General features: G+C 47.5%; 2 protein-coding genes across 11 annotated transcripts in view, besides 5 other annotated features; one reads left to right on the top strand and one right to left on the bottom strand.

Annotated features, from left to right (window-relative positions):
• Window positions 1,081-1,947: an enhancer, noted in NCBI's record as "NANOG-H3K27ac-H3K4me1 hESC enhancer chr12:123942373-123943239 (GRCh37/hg19 assembly coordinates)". NCBI's record gives its function as "activates a minimal SCP1, AML or CMV promoter by ChIP-STARR-seq in naive H9 embryonic stem cells {active_cell/tissue: H9 hESC(naive)}" and the evidence as "EXISTENCE:reporter gene assay evidence [ECO:0000049][PMID:30033119]".
• Window positions 1,394-16,409, top strand: SNRNP35 (small nuclear ribonucleoprotein U11/U12 subunit 35). Of its 6 annotated transcripts, XR_001748560.3 has the most exons (4): window positions 1,394-1,471; window positions 8,793-9,608; window positions 10,389-10,486; window positions 10,742-10,924. XR_001748560.3 is itself a non-coding variant. In NM_022717.4 (2 exons), exon 2 carries the CDS (start codon window positions 8,796-8,798, stop codon window positions 9,534-9,536), a length of 741 nt encoding a protein of 246 aa, NP_073208.1. In that variant the 5' UTR covers window positions 1,394-1,471; window positions 8,793-8,795; the 3' UTR covers window positions 9,537-10,191. The 6 variants fall into 6 exon arrangements, 2 of the variants coding, with proteins under 2 accessions (NP_073208.1, NP_851030.1); XR_001748562.3 differs by lacking the exons at window positions 10,389-10,486; window positions 10,742-10,924 and adding an exon at window positions 13,398-13,551; XR_001748561.3 differs by lacking the exon at window positions 10,389-10,486.
• Window positions 1,622-1,701: an enhancer, noted in NCBI's record as "active region_7270". NCBI's record gives its function as "activates an Ori minimal core promoter by ATAC-STARR-seq in GM12878 lymphoblastoid cells {active_cell/tissue: GM12878}" and the evidence as "EXISTENCE:reporter gene assay evidence [ECO:0000049][PMID:35858748]".
• Window positions 1,948-2,813: an enhancer, noted in NCBI's record as "NANOG-H3K27ac-H3K4me1 hESC enhancer chr12:123943240-123944105 (GRCh37/hg19 assembly coordinates)". NCBI's record gives its function as "activates a minimal SCP1, AML or CMV promoter by ChIP-STARR-seq in naive H9 embryonic stem cells {active_cell/tissue: H9 hESC(naive)}" and the evidence as "EXISTENCE:reporter gene assay evidence [ECO:0000049][PMID:30033119]".
• Window positions 8,365-8,866: an enhancer, noted in NCBI's record as "H3K27ac hESC enhancer chr12:123949657-123950158 (GRCh37/hg19 assembly coordinates)". NCBI's record gives its function as "activates a minimal SCP1, AML or CMV promoter by ChIP-STARR-seq in naive H9 embryonic stem cells {active_cell/tissue: H9 hESC(naive)}" and the evidence as "EXISTENCE:reporter gene assay evidence [ECO:0000049][PMID:30033119]".
• Window positions 12,057-12,351: a silencer, noted in NCBI's record as "tiled region #13608; K562 Repressive DNase matched - State 18:Pol2". NCBI's record gives its function as "represses a minimal TATA promoter and a strong SV40 promoter by Sharpr-MPRA in K562 cells {active_cell/tissue: K562}" and the evidence as "EXISTENCE:reporter gene assay evidence [ECO:0000049][PMID:27701403]".
• Window positions 13,309-19,429, bottom strand: part of RILPL1 (Rab interacting lysosomal protein like 1) — a 63,666-nt gene continuing 57,545 nt past the window's right edge. For 3 of the 5 annotated variants that reach the window (NM_178314.5, NM_001319302.2, NM_001319244.2), the window contains one exon: window positions 13,309-15,937. In NM_178314.5, the coding sequence (NP_847884.2) occupies window positions 15,793-15,937 (145 nt within the window). In that variant the 3' untranslated portion in view covers window positions 13,309-15,792. Of the gene's footprint in view, window positions 15,938-16,139; window positions 16,283-18,917; window positions 19,006-19,429 lie in introns of those variants that run through there. The other 2 variants (NM_001319243.2, XM_047428787.1) reach the window with 2 other exon arrangements.

Below are 19,429 nucleotides of genomic sequence, written 5' to 3' on the forward strand. Positions count from 1 at the left end.
TGTGTGTGTGTGTGTGTGTGTGTGTGTGTGTGTGTGTGTGTGTTTAAAAGCATAGGGGTCAGCCAGGTGTGGTGGCTCACGCCTGTAATCCCAGCACTTTGGGAGGCCAAGGCAGGCAGATCACTTGAGATCGGGAGTTCAAGACCAGCCTGACCAACATGGAGAAACCCCATCTCTACTAAAAATACAAAATTAGCCGGGCATGGTGGCACATGCCTGTAATCCCAGCTACTCGGAAGGCTGTCAGGAGAATTGCTTGAACCTGGGAGGCGGAGGTTGCGGTCAGCCGAGATCGTGCCATTGCACTCCAATATGGGCAACAAGAGTGAAACTCTGTCTCAAACAAAACAAAACAAAAACAAACAAACAAACAACAACATAGGGGTCTTGCTCTGTTGCCCAGGCTGACAGGCTGAACTTGAACTCCTGGCCTCAAGCCTCACGACTCAGCCTCCCTAGTAGCTGAAACTGCAGATGGCCTCCACTGACAGTGGCTACCATATATTTTCAAACATAAAATTTTAAGCTATAGATTTTTCTTTTTTTTGAGACGGACTTTCACTCTTGTTGTTCAGGCTGGAGTGCAATGGCACCATCTCAGTTCATCGAAACCTCTGCCTCCCGGGTTCAAGTGATTCTCCTGCCTCAGCCTCCTGAGTGGCTGGGATTACAGGCACATGACACCATGTCCAGCTAATTTTGTATTTTTAGTAGAGAAGGGGTTTCTCCATGTTGCTCAGGCTGGTCTCGAACTCCGAACCTCAGGTGATCCGCCCGCCTCGGCCTCCCGAAGTGCTGGGATTACAGGCGTGAGGCATGCCACCTGGCCTTTTTTTTTTTTTTTTTTTTTATAAAGAAATTGGGGCCGGGCGCGATGGCTCACGCCTGTAATCCCAGCACTTTGGGAGGCCGAGGCGGGCGGATCACTTGAGGTCAGAAGTTCGAGACCAGCCTGGCCAACATGGCAAAACCCTGTCTCTACTAAAAATACAAAAAATAGCCGGGCGTGGTGGCGGGCGCCAGTAATCCCAGCTACGCGGGAGGCTGAGGCAGGAAAATCACTTGAACCCGGGAGGCGGAGGTTGCAGTGAGCCGAGTTCGCACCACTGCACTCCAGCCTGGGCGACAGAGGGAGTCTCCGTCTCAAGAAAAAATAATAAATAAGAATAAATAAATAATAAAGTAAAATGTCCCAGGTAACTGCATATTCGATAGTCTTTCTTTCAACTTAGTTGTTGAATTAGCAATTTTTCTCTTAAAAAAATTTTTTTTTAGCTTATTGTCTTCGGAGATGATAACACCCTCGTTGCGTGGGAGTAAAATTTTAAAGGTAAAACAAACAGGAAACGAGCGTCGGCGGCGAATCTGCTGCTACCAATGTAAAGGTCAGGCCGAGGCCGGCGCGGAGAATCTGCTGTCGCCTGCAGCTGCTCGCCTGTCTCCGTCGGAAGGGAGCCCAAGCTTTGCAGAGGTGAGTGGAAGCGGCTTGGAAGGAGCGGGCCCCACGCCGGAGAGAAGGAAGAGGGAGTGCGGCCCAGACGCTGTGCCCGCGCTTGTGTGGGGCGCCATGTTGAAACCTGGCAAAGGGGACGACATTCTGGGTTGCGTTGCGGGGAGTGGGGACGAGAGCTGGATTGGAAGGATGGCGCCTTACTCCCTGCGGCCCCCAGAGAAGGAGAGGGGCGGGGGAGCGGCCTCGAGGGTTGGCGGCCAGGCTGCAGGCTGGATGGGAAGGATAGGCTTTTCCACAGAAACTTAGGTGTTTGCCTCCGAGGCCCACTGCGCATGCCCTGGAGGGCTCTGTGGGTTCCGCCTTCAGTTTTGCTTTTCACAGGAGGGGCAAAGTCTTTTTTTTTTTTTTTTCCTTTTTGAGACAGTCTTGCTCTGTCGCCCGGGCTGGAGTGCAGTGGTGCGATCTCGGTTCACTGCAACCTCCGCCTCCTGGGTTCAAGCGATTCCACTGCCTCAGCTTCCCGAGTAGCTGAGACTACAGGCGCCCGCCACCACGCCCTGCTAATTTTTTGTATTTTACTGGAGACGGGGTTTCACCATGTTAGCCAGGATGGTCTCGATCTCCTGTCCTCGTGATCCACCCGCCTCGGCCTCCCAAAGTGCTGGGATTACAGCCGTCAGCCACCGTGCCCGGCCAGGAGGGGCAGAGTCTTACCCCGAAGACCCAGGAAGGAGAGGCTTCATTTATTTTTTTGTTTTTCCCCAGAGACAGGGAGTCGCCCAGGCTGGAGAGCGGTGGCGCGATCTCGGCTCACTGCAGCGTCGACATTTCGGGTCAAGCAGTCCTCCCGCCTCAGCCTCTCAAGTATCTGGGACCACAGGCGCGACCCCACGCCCGGAGAATTGATTATTGATTGATTGATTGAAACGGGGTCTCACTTTGTTGCCCAGGCTGGTCTCGAATTTCTGGGCTCAAGCGATCCTCCAGCCTCGGCCTCTCAAAGTGCTGGTATTACAGGCGTGAGCCAGCGCGTGCCTGGCCAAAAATTTTCTAAATTTGTATAATAATTTATAATTGTAATGCATTTTTATAGACACCATATGATCTAATCTTCACAAAAACCTAGTGAAGTGACATTTAGCTACATTTCACAATAAGAATCCTGAAGCTCAAAATTTACTGACCTCAAATAATCCACCCGCCTTGGCCTCCCAAAGTGCTGGGATTACAGGCATGAGCCACCGCGCCCTGGCCCCCACCATTCATTTCGGCTCTCATCCCCTGTTGATGAGTAAAATGAGAATGAGGCCCAGGCGCGGTGGTTCACGCCTGTAATCCCAGCACTTTGGGAGGCTGAGGCAGGCGGGTCATCTGACATCAGGAGTTTGAGACCAGCTTGGCCAACATGGTGAAATCCTGTCTGTACTAAAAATGCAAAAATTAGCTGGGCGTGGTGGTGTGTGTCTGTAATCCCAGCTACTCGGGAGGCTGAGGCAGGAGAATCACTTGAACCTGGGAGGCAGAGGTTGCAGTGAGCCGAGATTGGCCATTGCACTCCAGCCTGGGTGACAGAGTGAGACTTTGTCTCGAGTAAAAAAAGAGAATGTAAAAATCGAAAGAGATTGTTGTAGGAAATCTCAACCTAATGCTGCCGGGGAGGAAGTGCACCTAGAAAGATTAATGAGAAACAATGAAACCAGCTGTTAGTATCTATAGAAGCATGCAGATGAGAGAGAGAACAAAATCCATGCTTATCCGTTTGTAATTCTCCTCCATTTTAATTTGAAGAAGTCTTAAAGTTTTGAACAGGAGCTCTGTGTACAATAATATCAGTTTTATTTGGTAGATCCTTGTGACTCCTGACTTCAAATGATCCGCTCATCTTGGCCTCCTCAAGTGCTAGGATTGCTGGCGTGAGCCACTGCACCGGGCCCCTTGTGACTTTTTAACGTTGAATGGGGAGGGGTTCTTTTCCTTCAGGAGAGGAGGGGTGGGTCTCAGCCTCAGACACCCAGAATACTGGTTTGTGTGTTTTCTTTTTCCTATCTTTATCTCCAAAACCTTATATTTTATGAAAAGCATCAGAGGAAACGATTAAGAGCTTTAGCTCTGGAGTCCACACTGCCCCTGGTTCTAACTCCTCCACTGGGCTACTTCTTAGCTTTAGGATTTGGGGCACAGGCTGCCTTTTTGTGTCTGACCTTTTTCATCTGAAAAGGCAATAATAATATAGTACCTAAGTCCTGGTATTGTTGAGAAGTGAGAGGAGTTAAGAGGTTAGTACAGGCTGGGTTCGCTGGCTCACATGTGTAATCCCAGCACTTTGGGAGGCTGAGGCAGAAGGATAGCTCATGCCCAGGAGTTCAAGATCAGCCTATGCAATATAGTGAGACCCCATCTCTACAAAAAAAAAAAAAAAAAAAAAAGCTGGGTATGGTGGCGCATAGTGAGTAATTCCAGGTACTCAGGAGGCTAGGGTGGGAGAGGCTGCAGTGAGCCATGACTGTGCCACTGTACTCCAGTCTGGGCAACAGAGCAAGACCCTGTCTCAAAAAAAATTCAAGCGATTCTCCTGCCTCAGCCTTCTGTAGCTGGGATTACAGGCATGCACCACCATGCCTGGGTAATTTTGTATTTTCAATAGAGACGGGGTTACTCCATGTTGGTCAGGCTAGTCTCGAACTCCCGACTTCAGGCAATCTGCCCACTTTTGCCTCCCAAAGTGCTGGGATTCAGGCGTGAGCTACTGCGCCTGGCCTTTTTTTTTTTTTTTTTTTTTTTTTTAAAAACAGAGACAGGGTCTCACCATGTTTCCCATGTTGCCCAGGCTAGTCTCGAACTCCTGGGCTCAAGGGATCCTCCCATTTTGGCCTCTCAAAGTGCTGGGATTACAGGCGTGAGCCACCACGCCCAGCCTCTTCTTTCTTTTTTTTTTGAGACGGAGTCTCGCTCTGTCGCCCAGGCTGGAGTGCAATGGCGGGATCTCAGCTCACTGCAAGCTCTGCCTCCCGGGTTCACGCCATTCTCCTGCCTCAGCCTCCCGAGTAGCTGGGACTACAGGCGCCCACCACTACGCCTGGCTAATTTTTTTTTTTTTTTTTGTATTTTTAGTAGAGACGGGGTTTCACTGTGTTAGCCAGGATGGTCTCAATCTCCTGACCTCGTGATCTGCCCGCCTCGGCCTCCCAAAGTGCTGGGATTACAGGCATGAGCCACCGCGCCCGGCTGCCTCTTCTTTTTTTCACGTGGAGAAATTCCAGCCACGAGAGAAGACACAAATTGAGTTAGAGCCAGAGCCCAGACCAGGACTGAAATTGTCTCCCTCTCATCCTGTGCTCCTTCTGTCACTCCATCTGTTTTTCATTCTTTTACTGACAGCAGAGAGGCAGCCTCTGCAAAGTTGCTTGTTGATGATGACAGACATATTGCCCTCCTTTTACCATGTGGTGGTAAACAGTGTCATGTCCTGTTCTTGTTTCTCAATGATCAGGTTTGCCTGATTTGGACTAAAAAAAGTTCTATGATTTTTTTTTTTTTTTTTGAGACAGAGTATTGCTGTGTTGATGAGGCTGGAGTGCAGTGGCGCAATTTCAGCTCACTGCAACCTCCGACTCCTGGTTTCAAGCGATTCTCCTGCTGCAGCCTCCCAAGTAGCTGGGACTGCAGGCGCCCGCCACCACACCCAGCTAATTTTTGTATGTTTAGTAGAGATGGGGTTTCGCTATGTTGCTGAGGCTGGTCTTGAGCTGCTGACCTCGTGATCCGCCTGCCTCGGCCTCCCAAGATGCTGGGATTACTGGCGTGAGCCACTGCGCCGGGCCAGTTCTGTGATTTTTGATCAGAGTTGGTTCAGTTCCTCAGTATTTATCAGAAAGCATCCTAGGATCTGGAGCCACCAGACTGAAGAGTGTTTACTGTGTGTTGGGCAAAACATGATCAGGACTTTAGAAGTTTCAATGAGCTGTGAGAAAGACACAGTTGCTTCATGGTGGAGGGAGCTAAATCTGGACTTGACAGGCCCAGTAGAATTTCCGCAAGTGGATATGAGGGAGATAGACAGGGAGAGCATATTCCCAAGAGAAGAAATCATCCTGAGATGTTTGCACAAATGGTTTAGGCCAAAAAGAAAGAAAAATTGTACTAGGAAAGACATGGGGCTGGAGAATTAGGGCATATTCAAGGAAGGAGGAGCAAGCCTGGGTAGTTTACAAACAGGCTTTGTTCCTGTTGAAAGGATCAGGAGAAAAATAGAATAGGTTTTATGATGGGACATGGTGAGAGGCTAAGTGAGGGTCAGAGGTCTTTTTTTTTTTTTTTTTTTCTTCTGAGATGGAGTCTCGCTCTGTTGCCCAGGCTGGAGGGCAGTGGCATGTTCTCGGCTCACTGCAACCTTCGCCTCCTGGGTTCAGCCTCCCAAGTAGCTGAGACTACAGGGTGTGCACCACCTTGCCCAGCTAATTTTTTGTATTTTTAGTAGATATGGGGTTTCACCATGTTGGCCAGGCTGGTCTTGAACTCCTGACCTCAAGTGATCCTCCCGTCTTGGCCTCCTAAAGTGCTGGGATTACAGGTGTGAGATCGTGCCCGGCCTAGTGTCAGAGGTCTTGAGTGCAGTGTCATTGATTTTGGATTTTATTCTGTAGGTGTTTGGCTTTTTTACTGAGGAAAGAAAAATTCACAGTGCACCTCTAAGTAATCACTCCCCCTATATAACCCATCAACTGAGGGAGAAATAAAGCAGAAAGATCCTTGAGGAAAATTTGAGTAAGAGGAAAAAAGTTATAGATATTTTAAGAAATATTATGGAAAAATGCTGTTAGGAATGAGAACTACTGTATATATTTCACAGAAACCTGGTTTTTTGTTTTTGTTTTTGTTTTGAGACAGGGTCTCACTCTGTTACCCACACTGAAGTACAGTGGCATGATCAAGGCTCACTGCAGTCTCAAGTTCCAAGGCTCAAGCCATCCTCCTGTCTTAGCCCCCCTAGTAGCTGGGACTACAGGCGTGCACCACCATGCCTGGCTAATATTTTTGAATTTTAGTAGAGATGAGGTCTTGATATGTTGCCCAGGCTGGTCTCCAACTCCTGAGCTCAAGTGATCGTCCCACCTTGGCCTTCTAAAGTACTGGGATTACAGGTGTGAGCCACTGCAACAGGTCAAGTTTTTTTTTTTTCTTTCTTCTTTCTTTTTTTGAGACAGACTCTCGCTCTGTCACCCAGGCTGGAGTGCGGTGATGCGACCTCGGCTCACTGCAACCTCCGCCTCCTGGGTTCAAGCAATTCTCCTGCCTCAACCTCCCGAGTAGCTGCGACTACAGGCGTGTGCAACTGTGCCCAGCTGATTTTTGTATTTTTAGTAGAGACGGGGTTTCACCATATTGGCCAGACTGGTCTCAAACTCCTTGGCCAGACTGGTCTTGAACTCCTGACCTCGTGATCTGCCCACCTTGGCCTCCCAAAGTGCTGAGATTACAGGCGTGAGCTACCGCGCTCGCCAGTTTTGTTTTGTTTTTTTTCTTAACTTTTGGGACTTCTTCCAGGAAAGACCTGGTTTGGTTTTTATTTTTTATTTTTTTTTTTGAGACAGAGCCTCGCTTTGTTGCCCAGGCTGGAGTGCAGTGGTGTAATCTCGGCTCACTGCAACCTCGCCTCCTGGGTTCAAGCCACTCTCCTGCCTCAACCTCCTGAGTAGCTGGGATTAAGGCGCCCACCTACCTCGCCTGGCTAATTTTTTTTTTTTTTTTTTTGGAGACGGAATTTTGCTCTTATTGCTCAGGCTGGAGTGCAATGGCGTGGTCTCGGCTCACCGCAACCTCCACCAACCTAGTTCAAGTGATTCTCCTGCCTCAGCCTCTTGAGTACCTGGGATTACAGGCGCCTACAACCACGCCCCGCTAATTTTGTATTTTTAGTTGAGATGGGGTTTCTCTATGTTGGTCAGGCTGGTCTCGAACTCCTGACCTCAGGTGATCCACCTGCCTCAGCCTCCTAAAGTGCTGGGATTATAGGCGTTAGTCACTGCACCCAGCCAGCCAAGGTTTTTTTTTTTTTTTTTGAGATGGAGTCTTGCTCTGTCGCCCAGGCTGGAGTGCAGTGGCGCGAACTCTGCTCACTGCAAGCTCCGCCTCCCGGGTTCAAGTCATTCTCCTGCCTCAGCCTCCTGAGTAGCTGGGACTACAGGCGCCCGCCATCATGCCCGGCTAATTTTTTTTGTATTTTTTAGTAGAGAGAGCGTTTCACCGTGTTAGCCAGGATGGTCTCGATCTCCTGATCTCATGATCCGCCCGCCTCGGCCTCCCAAAGTGCTGGGATTACAGGCGTGAGCCACCGCGTCTGGCCTCAGCCAAGGTTTTTAAGTAACATATTTCAGCATTGGCTCTACAGCGTTGCAGGTTGGTCACATAAGCATTAGCTGGGTCTGAAATATTAGTAAGCATTTTATTATTCCAGCAAAGATTCACATGAATTAACTATGTATCAGAAGGCATGACAACTGCAGTGTGCTTGCTGGACAAAAAATTACCATTGCAGTAAATTCTCATGCTCCCAGTCTAAACGGATTATCAGCTAGGGATCTGAGAAGAAATCCCATGTTCCTTTTGAGACAAATAACCCGCTCCCGCTGCTGGGTCACTGTAGCCTTAGCTTTGTTGTCTGTTTACTACAGAATGGTGCATCCAAATCCCTGTTTTCTCTTGTAGTTTTAAAAAAGTCTATATCTTTTAATGATGCATAGTAAAAAAATTTCCACACGAATGATGTGATATCTAGAATTTGTTTCAGAATTATCTGGGGGCAGATTATTCTGGCCACATGTGCATGGTGGTTCTAGTTGAGCCGGGTGAGAAGTTTGTGGAGGGTTATTATATGATTCTCTATGTTGGTATTTGATATTCTTGGTAGTAGAGTTTTTAAATTGCCATTTTCCACCAGCAGTTCCTGGGCTAGTTTTCCTATGATCATTTTAAAGGTTCTGAAAGAGAAGTCTGGTTTTGATCCACGTTGCCACATTGTAATGTGTTCATAGTTGGTAAGTGCCCTTCCGTGGCTGAGCCAGATGCTGCATATATGGGTGAAACCCGAGCACGCTGCCCTCTGCTTCCTGAGAGGGCATTTGTAGGAGTGGGTAAGGGCTTCTCTGGAGCACAACTGCCTGGCTTTGGTGCTGTCTCCCCCACTTACTAGCAGGGAGGACTTAGCCTCTGTGGGTGTTCCCTTCCTTTCCTGTTTTTAAGAAGAGGTGAATGATAGTATCCTTTTCATGGCATTGTTGTAAGGGTTGAATGAGTGGCTCAGAGTAGAGGCTCCATCCACGCTTGCTCTTATCATTCATAGAACATGAACGATTGGATGCCCATCGCCAAGGAGTATGATCCACTCAAAGCGGGCAGCATTGATGGCACCGATGAAGACCCACACGACCGCGCGGTCTGGAGGGCAATGCTGGCACGATATGTCCCCAACAAAGGTGTCATAGGAGATCCCCTCCTCACCCTGTTTGTGGCCAGACTAAACTTGCAGACCAAGGAGGACAAATTAAAGGAAGTCTTTTCCCGCTATGGTGACATCCGGCGGCTTCGGCTGGTCAGGGACTTGGTCACAGGTTTTTCAAAGGGCTACGCCTTCATCGAATACAAGGAGGAGCGTGCCGTGATCAAAGCTTACCGAGATGCTGATGGCCTGGTTATTGACCAGCATGAGATATTTGTGGACTACGAGCTGGAAAGGACTCTCAAAGGGTGGATCCCTCGGCGACTTGGAGGCGGTCTTGGGGGAAAAAAGGAGTCTGGGCAACTGAGATTTGGGGGACGGGACCGGCCTTTTCGAAAACCTATTAACTTGCCAGTTGTTAAAAACGACCTCTATAGAGAGGGAAAACGGGAAAGGCGGGAGCGATCTCGATCCCGAGAAAGACACTGGGACTCGAGGACAAGGGATCGAGACCATGACAGGGGCCGGGAGAAGAGATGGCAAGAAAGAGAGCCGACCAGGGTGTGGCCCGACAATGACTGGGAGAGAGAGAGGGACTTCAGAGATGACAGGATCAAGGGGAGGGAGAAGAAGGAAAGAGGCAAGTAGAGGCCCAACAGCAGAACCCCAAAGTGAAGTTACAGTGGAAATGAGTGGAGGGGGATTGTCTTTCAACGCAGCGTGAGTCTAATGGTTGAATAAAACTTACTGATGATCATGGGGTTTGGAATAGTTTTCTTTCCAATCTGGAACTTCGGTTCAAGCTGATAGGAATTTATCATCTTCCTCACATAGTTCTAAGGACATGTTATTTAACAGGATCAAGAAGCAATTTTGTAGTTACTGGCATCTGTACAGAAGGGCATTTTCTTTTCTTTTCTTTTTTTTTTTTTTGAGACAGAGTCTCACTCTGTTGCCAGGGCTGGAGTGCAGTGGTAAAATCTTGGCTCACTGTAACCTCTGCCTCCTGGGTTCAAGTGATTCTCCTGCCTCAGCCTCCCCAGTAGTTGGGATTACAGGCATGTGCCACCATGCCCGACTAATTTTTGTATTTTTAGTGGAGATGGGGTTTCACCATGTTGGTCAGGCTGTTTTCGAACTCCTGACCTCAGATGATCCACCTGCCTTGGCCTCCCAAAGTGCTGGGATTACAGGTGTGAGCCACTACTCCTGGCCTGGTCTCCAACTCTTGACCTCAAATGAGCCACCTGCCTTAGCCTCCCAAAGTGCTGGGATTACAGGCATAAGCCACTGCGCCCAGCCAGAAGGGCATTTGTAAGGAGCTAGTATTCAGATTTAATTTGGCAGTAGGAATTTGATTTTCTTCCATCTATTTTAAATGATCATCTTGAGTACGTGGCAAAAAGAGGTTATGACCTAATCACACTCCTCTGAGTCCTTAGAGGAAGAACACTAATCTGGTCAGAATAAATTGTATCTTTTCTATCTTTATATCCATAGCCCAAGAGTTTGCTGAATTGAAATAAAAATGGGATAGAAAAGTGAATTCAAGGAGAATGTCCAGAGCCCTAATACCAGAAGGCAGTCTGCACAGCCAGGTCAGCATTCTTGAACAAATGCACTTCCATTCTCACTCAAAATGCCGACTGCCTTTCTTCTTTTTCTGACTGACATTTAAAATTAAAAACCAAAGTTGCTGGGCTGTGATCTATGGCAGCCTTCCAGCCCTTTGAAAAGATAAAGTTAGACAGAAGTGGTGGTGAAATGAAAATGAAGAATAAGGAGTGGTCAGGATCTATGAAAGAATTACAGCTAGTTCTGATGGATTGATTTTTCCTTTCTCTCTTATCTAGTCTCTGGGGTGCTCGAGAGCTAGATCTGCTGACCTTAACTTCTGAGGACTTTGAGCAAGTACCATACTGTTCGGATGATTTTCAAAAAAGTGACATTTAGCATTTTGATAAATGGCCGTCTTTGAAAGTTCATATTCTGAAAATTCAAGATGTTTCATGCAAAATAAATGATTTAGTACCATTGCTAGGTTTTCGCATAGGAGTATGAATCTCTCATGATATTATACAGGGAACTGGACCAACCTGCTGTGGCTTAAAATTGCTGTCAGCTGTTAGAACAGTTTTAGAAAAATAGGCCCTTTCCTTTGTGAATTTCCAGTACAGAATTTTATTATTTCCCAAGTCTCAGAAAACAACCTTGCAGGAAACCTTTTTGATTTCACTCACATTTAATTTACAAAGTGTTCCCTTATTATGGCACCAGAAGGGTGTTGTGGGCTAGGGTTGGTAGATTGTCTAGAAAACAAGACTGCCTGCATTAGGGAAGCCTTGTGAGATACCATCAGGACAAAAAGCAAAGCCAGTTGCAGTGTTTGTGTAGTTGTCAACTCTGAGCATCAGAACAGGGAGAGATTGAAAACATGCACACTTGGCTGGGCACGGTGCTCACGGCTGTGATCCCAGCACTTTGGGAGGCCGAGGCGGGCAGATCACCTGAGGACAGGAGTTCGAGACCATCCTGGCCAACATGGTAAAGCCCCATCCCTACTAAAAATACAAAAATTAACTGGGCGTGGTGGCAGGTGCCTGTAATCCCAGCTACTCAGGAGGTTGAGGCAGGAGAATGGCTTGAACCCAGGAGGCGGAGGTTGCAGTGAGCCAAGACCGGACCACTGCACTCCAGCCTGGGCGACAGAGCGAGACTCTGTCTCAAAAAAAAAAAAAAAAAGAAAAGAAAAAAAGAAAACATGCACACTGAGGCTGGGCGTGATGGCTCACGGCTGTAATCTCAGCACTTTGGGAGGCCATGACAGGTGGATGGCTTGGAGCTCAGCAGTTCGAGACCAGTCTGGGCAACGTGGTGAAAACTTCTCTTTACGAAAAACACAAAAATTAGCCGGGTGTTGGTTTTGCTTGCCTGTAGTCCCACCTACTTGGGAGGCTGAGGCTGGAGAATTGCTCGAGCCCGGGAAGCAGAGGTTGCAGTGAGCTGAGATTGTGCCACTGCACTCCAACCTGGGTGACAGAGTAAGACCCTGTCTCAAAACAAAAAACAAAAAACTTGCACACTCAGACTCCAACCCTGTACATTTGGGCTTAGTGTTCTATGGGCTGTGGTGACTTTGAAAGAAAAACAATGGTACAGCCTCCATGGTAGGGACTTTGGCAGTCTCCATGAACATGACAGAAGCAAATACTCTTTGATCTAGCAATTCTGCTTCTAGTTTATTCTGTAGACTTTTGTGTGTGTGACAGTGTGCAACACTTTTTGAGAGTAAAGGATTGGAAGGAAGCTACCTGTCCATCAGTGGGGCCTAGATAAACATTAATAAATATCACCCCCATATGGTAGACCAGGGCATTGTAGGATGTTCATTAGCACCTTCCTTGGTGTCTACCCATAGATGACAGTATCCTCTCTCCCCCTCCAGTTGTGACAATCAAAAATGTCTCCAGACTGCCAAATGTCCCCTGGGGGGCTCAGTCATCCGTGGTTGAGAGCCACTGTCTTTTCTTTTTTTTTTTGAGACAGAGTCTCGCTCTGTCGCCCAGGCTGGAGTGCAGTGGTGCGATCTCCGCTCACTGCAAACTCTGCCTCCCGGGTTCAAGCGATTCTCCTGCCTCAGCCTCCTGAGTAGCTGGGACAACAGGCGCATGCCCCCATGCCCAGCTAATTTTTGTATTTTTAGTAGAGATGGGATTTCTCTATGTTGGCCAGGCTGGTCTCAAACTCCTGACCTCATGATCTGCCTGCCTCAGCCTCCCAAAGTGCTGGGATTACAGGTATGAACCACTGCTCCTGGCCATGAGAGCCGCTGTCTTATGTACTCATATGGAGTTATTGCTATACATTTTTTTTTCTTTTTTGAGGCAGGGTCTCACTCTGTCCCCCAGGCTGGAGTGCAGTGGTGTGATCACAGCTCACTGCAGCCTTGAACTGGGCTCAAGGGATCCTCCTGCCTTAGCCTCCCAAGTAGCTGAGATCATAGGTGTACACCACCACACCCACCTATTTTTTTATTTTAATTAATTTTTTGTAGAGGTGGGTTATTGCTATGTCACCTAGGTTTGTCTTAAACTCCTGGGCTCAAGTGATCCTCCCTACTTGACCTCCCAAAATATGGGGATTATAGGTGTGACCCACTGCACCTTGGCCCTCTCTAGGATATTTCAAGGGGAAAAAAGAAAAGCACAGAACAGCATGAATATATTATGCTGCCATTTAAATAAAAAAAAAAAGGAGGGCCAGGTATGGTGGTTCATGTCTATAGTCCCATCTACTCGGGAGGCTGAGGCAGGAGGATTGCTTGAGGCCAGGAGTTTGGGACCAGCCTTGGTGACATAGTAAGACCTTGTCCCTTAAGAAAAAAGGAAAGAAGGAATATATACACACATGTACATATATATATGCTTTTTGTTCTTGATTTTATTTTACATAATTGCATGTATAAACTTTCTGATGGATTGATTTTTCCTTTCTGTCCCGATTATCTAGCCTCTGATGTGCTCAAGAGCTGGATCTGCTGACTTATCAAAAAAGTGACATTTGGCCAGGCACGGTGGCTCACACCTGAATTCCCAGCACTTTGGGAGGCTGGGGTGTGAGGATCACTTGAGCCCAGGAGTTTGAGACCAGCTTAGGCAACAAAGTAAGACCTGGTCTCTACAAAAAATAATTAGCTGGGCATGGTGGTGCACATCAGTAGTACCAGCTACTTGGGAGGCTGAGGTGGGAGGATTGCTTGAGCCCAGGGGTTCATAGCTGCAATGAGCTATGATAGTGCCACTGTACTCCAGCCTAGGTGACAGAGTGAGACCCTGTGTCCAAAAAAAAAAAAAAAAAAAAGGCCAGCCACAGTGGCTCACACCTGTAATCCCAGCACTTTGAGAGGCCAAGGCAGGTGAATCACTTGAGGTCAGGAGTTCGAGACCTCGAGACCAGCCTGGCCAACATGGTGAAACCCCGTCTTTACTAAAAATACAAAAATTAGTCAGGTATGGTGGCACACACATGTAGTCCCAGCTACTTGGGAGGCTCAGGCATGAGAATTGCTTGAACTCAAGAGGCGGAAGTTGCAGTGAGCAGAGATGGTGCCACTATACTTTGGCTTGGGCAATAGAGCAAGACTATCTCAAAAAAAAGAGAGACATTTAGTGTTTAGGAAAGATAACCAAGAAACTGGCAATTTTGGTTACCTGTTGGAAGGGCAACAAAGGTGGCCAGGGGTGGGAGAGAAATTCATCAGTATACCTGCTTCTATACTCTTTGAGAATAAATTCTAATAATTCTAATGGGCACTCAGGTTTGAGAAACACTGCTCTAACGCAGCAATAATTACCCTGTCTGATCATTTCTTTTTTTCGGCAATCTGGAAGCAGAGTCCATTCTAGATTCTGCAAATTCACCTGATGGTTTCTTTCTTTCTTTTTTTTTTTTTTTTTAGATGAAGTCTCACTCTGTCGCCCAGGCTGGAGTGCAATGGCACGATCTAGGCTCACTGCAACCTCTGCCTCCTAGGTTCAAGGAATTCTCCTGTCTCGGCCTCCTGAGCAGCTGGGATTATAGGCATGCACCACCTCGCCTGGCTAATTTTTTTGTATTTTTGTAGAGATGGGGTTTCACCGTGTTGGCCAAGCTGGTCTCGAACTCCGGACCTCAAGTGACCCACCTGCCTCGGCCTCCCAAAGTGCTGGGATAGCAGGCGTGAGCCACTGTGCCCAGCCTCACCTAATGGTTTCTTAGCAAACTTCAGTAGAATGTTTAGAACGCGGCCCTGATAAACTTGAGTGCTGGTAGGAGGTGCTACCTCGCTCAATCTGTGAGCAACCAGCCCTGTGCCCTGGATGCTTGGCGGGTGGAGAGAAAGACAGTGTTATGTGGGCAAGCCTCCAACTCACCAGTTGCAGTAGAGCATCTGGCTCTCTGTCTGCTGCTATAGCCCTGTGAGTCAGCCAGACGTGTGGTCCCCAAGCCAGCTTCCCACCTAGCACCCTTGTTCTGCTACAGCTCCCCCACCTGCCCTCCTGCATTGCCTAGGATCCCACGCCCCGCTTTCAGTCTGCTCTGGGACATCTGTCTTCTTCTTTGCAGGGGACTAAGTATATGACTTAATGAATCCTAAAAGGAAAAAAAGATGTCAGGAAAAAAAAGTGCACACAAGAAATGTTGCAACATCTCATCCTTAGCAACTTTGTTTGGTTAGTACTGCATAACTCACAGCAGATTCCAAGGCACCTGCCTTGAACATTGCTACATGCTCTAGGCATTATCAGGAACGCAGCCAGGGTGCCTGCAAAGTTGTCTCCAGTTTCTGGGTAAGAGGACCATCATCCATATTGTCTGTGGCTTTGTGTCTGAGTTGGGCTACTGAGCCTGTGACTTCAGACCCCTTGTCTGCCTGATGGATACATTCTGTATAATACGTTACCATCACAATTTCATGAATGTAACTAATGAAGATCTAGCCCTTCCATGCCTCCTGCTGAACTATGTCACCTGTGATAATAAAACCTCTACACATAGCATTTTATACAAAGCAAGTCAAACAGCAATGATAGTGGCAAGTGATGTATTTGGCTTAAAGAAGCTTGTGTTACTGAAGTTAACGCAGAAGTCTGGCCTCCGTTTGTGGGATTATTAAATATATATCCTACGGGATCAGAGTCATCTATTAGAAACAGTGATAGCCCTGGGTATAAATAAACATTTCTTTAGAGTTTGGCGTCAGTTTTTCAATGTCCATCCTCAAATCAGACAGTCTGTTTGAGGGGTCAGTTTTCAGGGTGCATCTGCACCGAGAGGCTTGAGGCAGCAATGACCCCTGGGCTGCAGTTCGGTTGCAGGCGCTGGTGGCGGGCAGTCCAGGTTGGAGGGTGGAGATGGGCCAAGGTCACAGATGCTGCAGGGCTTCCTGTCCTTGCTCTGTGTAACCGTCATCGCGGTGGGTGTTTGCCCACTGTCCAAAGGACTCCTGGATGTGCACGTTTCTCTGTGTGTTGGCCAGGCGCTTCTTATCTCGGGAGAAGAAGCTAAACCTTTGGAAGGGAAAGCAAACACAGAAATGAGAGCTGACCCTTTGCTGTGCAAGTCACGTTTTTTGCAATGCCGGAGACATATAGCAGCAAACTTAGAAGGGAGCAAATCAATTCAAGGTGTGAAAGACAAAGTTGGGGGTGCAGGTCAAAGTTATTCCAAGAAAGCAGCAGGGTATTCTGCGTGTCATTTGGACACGGTACCTTGGAGGTCACGCGGTATGGGCAAGGCATGCATGCTGATGTGATGTGTGAGGTGTCTTCCACGTTAGCCGCTATGGAGGATTTATCCCGTTACCAGTGGAAATCAAAAGCTGCTGAAACAAATCTTGGGTTTCTTTAATTACCCTAATGACGCAGAGAAAGGAATACTTGAAAACCGTGTGGAATATAAGAGGATTCTGTTGTAAACGAATGAGTATTTCTAATTTAAATAGTTCTGTATTTGTTTAATGTCAGTCAGGAAACTGTGGCCCAGATTTCATGGACATTACTGCTTAGATGAGGCTAAAGGAAGTACTTAAGAAAAATGAACAATAAAACATATACTATGGGCTGAGCGCGATGGGTCACGCCTGTAACCCCAGCACTTTGGGAGGTCGAGGCAGGCAGATCACTTGAGGTCAGGAGTTCGAGACCAGCCTGGCCAACGTGGTGAAACCCCGTCTCTACTAAAAATACAAAAATTATCCAGGTGTGGTGGCACACGCCTGTAATCCCAGCTACTTAGGAGGCTGAGGCAGGAGAATCGCTTGAATCTGGGAGGCGGAGGTTCCAGTGAGCCGAGATCACGCCACTGCACTCCAGCCTGGGCAAGAGAACAAGACTCTGTCTAAAAAAATAAAATAAATATATATATATAAGTAAAACATGGTACGCATGGTTCTCTGATATAAAATTAGGGAAACATCCATTTGCACTTTCAAAAATAGATCTAATGGTGAAAGCCTTTAGGCCGTATCACTGTAACCAGCTACAGAGCCACAGTTAGTCTGGCCTCAGACTTTAACTGAGGTAGACAGAGGTCTTTTTAAAACAGCTGTGACTGTTGCATATTGATCAGAGAGAGCCATCAGGAACTTTCAGATGCCTGAAAGATAAAGGCAGAAGTCATAAGCATACTTGAGTTTGTTACCATAGAAAAAAGAAAGAAAAAAACAAAAGAAAAAAAAAAGTCACAAGCAAAAAGCCTGCAAGGTAGTCCATTTATTTTTATTTTTATTTTTTATTTTTGAGATGGGGTTTCACTCTTGTTGCCCAGGCTGGAGTGCAATGGCTCACTGCAACCTCCACCTCCCCGGTTCAAGTGATTCTTCTGCCTCAGCATCCTGAGTAGCTGGGATTACAGGCACCCGCCACCACACCTAGCTAAGTTTTTGTATTTTTAGTAGAGATGGGGTTTCACCATGCTGACCAAGGTGGTCTCAAACTCCTGACCTCAGGTGATCCACCTGCCTTGGCCTCCCAAAGTGCTGGGATTACAGGCGTGAGCCACTGTGCCTGGCCAAAGTAGTCCCTTTAAAACAAGGTCTGCTTTGAGGTCATGTAAACAAACTAGGACCCTGGTCAGTGAACCTGAAATTGGCCTACCTTGAGGAATTCCCAAAAGCTCTTCCTAAAACTGTCCTTTGATACTACCAGGCTCTATTAAGATTCCTTCTGTTGTCACCAAGTTCTACTCTTTTTTTTTGAGACGGAGTCTCGCTCTGTCATCCAGGCTGCAGTGCAGTGGCTTGATCTCAGTTCACTGCAACCATTGCCTCCCAGGTTCAAGCGATTCTCCTGCCACAGCCTCCCAAGCAGCTGGGATTACAGGTGCATGCCACTGCGCCCAGCTAATTTTTTTGTATTTTTAGTAGAGACGGGGCTTCACCATGTTGGTCAGGCTGGTGTCAACCTCCTGACTTCAAATGATCCACCTGCCTTGGCCTCCCAAAGTGCTGGGATTACAGGCATGAGCTGCCGAGCCCGGCCGTCACCAACACCTGGGATCACAGGCGTTAGCCACTATGTGAATTATGGCTCTGAACTTGGTAAGAGATATCATATAATAGCATGTTATGTTTCCTGGGAGGCAAGAATAGGAACAAAGCCACTGCGAAATCAAAGCTTCGGATAAACTATTTTTGGTTCCCTCTGTTTGCTGGTTGCTAGTGTTGCAGCCTCCAGAGTTTAGTTTTAATCACATCTGGGTGAAAATGATTTCACTCTTCTGTGGTTACTGGATCCTACACTCACTTTCTACCAGGAATAAACTGATCTTTCATTGCAAAGCCACGGCAAGCCAAGTTTATCTGATGAAACTCTCCCTAGCGACTAAGATGCCTTTTCTCTGTGACAGGTAAGTGTGCTGGTGAATGAAGGCACAATTCTCACACTGGGTTATTTGTGAGCTCCTTCCATAGAGTAATCCAGGCAATTAACTGGCGAAAAATACAGCAGCAACACCTCACGGTTACGCTTCACCTCTCTCTGACTCAGGTAAACAGGAAGGCCACTTAGCACTTCTGACACAGACAGAATCAAAACACTGGTCCCCTCCTCTGCCTTTCTTTTTAAAACAAGATCAAATGGCTGACTTGAAGATGGCTTGGAAAACAAAGCAGTTTAGAAAGCTACAGGGTGAACATCAAAAACATAGGGTTAGTGTCACTCGGGGACCGCAGTGGGCGTTGATTACTGACCCGTCACTTAAAGGACCTTCTTTACTGGATCATGGGCAAGGTGGTTTTAAAACAGAAACAGAAGAGACAAAAAGAATTATCGGTGACAGAGCCGAGAATTCTGAGGCTTCGCTCGAGTAGACCGAGCGCAGCCAGTGGCACAGCTGAAATCACACTCAACATCCACGTCAAATGGAGCACACAGGTGGCGGCCATGCAGCTTAAGTGGCCAGGGGGAGACAGGTCAGCCCCAGCAGTAGCCGAAGCAGACATTCCAAGGGGGCAGCTCAAACAAAACCCAAAACACACACAGTGCCTACAAGGGAAACAAGTCGTCGGACAGGCTGCAGTGTGGGGTCATCTATTATCAGTCCCGCTGCTACCATAGGCATTATGGCTGTAAAGATCCTGGTTAGAGAAGTACAGATAGACACAGAGAAGATAAAAACGGGAGGCATGAAAAAGAAACAAACTCCACAGACACCAGTGGAAGGGTTTGATTAGGGTCTAAGTTAGCGGTTGAATTGTGTCACCTGCCTCTAAATTCACTTAAAATTTTTTTTTTTTTTTTTTTTTTTTGAGACAGAGTCTCACTGTCTCGTCCAGGCTGGAGTGCGGTGGCGCAATCTCAGCTTACTGCAACCTCCTCCTCCCGGGTTCAAGCGATTCTCCTGCCTTAGCCTCCTGAGTGGCTAGGGATTATAGGCGTTTGCCACCACGCCTGGCTAATTTTTGTATTTTTAGTAGAGACAGGGTTTCACCATGTTGGCCAGGCTGGTCTTGAACTCTTGACCTCAGGTCATCTGCCCGTCTCAGCCTCCCAAAGTGCTGG

This window comes from Homo sapiens, chromosome 12 (assembly GCF_000001405.40).
Source record: "Homo sapiens chromosome 12, GRCh38.p14 Primary Assembly".
NCBI lineage: Eukaryota > Metazoa > Chordata > Mammalia > Primates > Hominidae > Homo > Homo sapiens.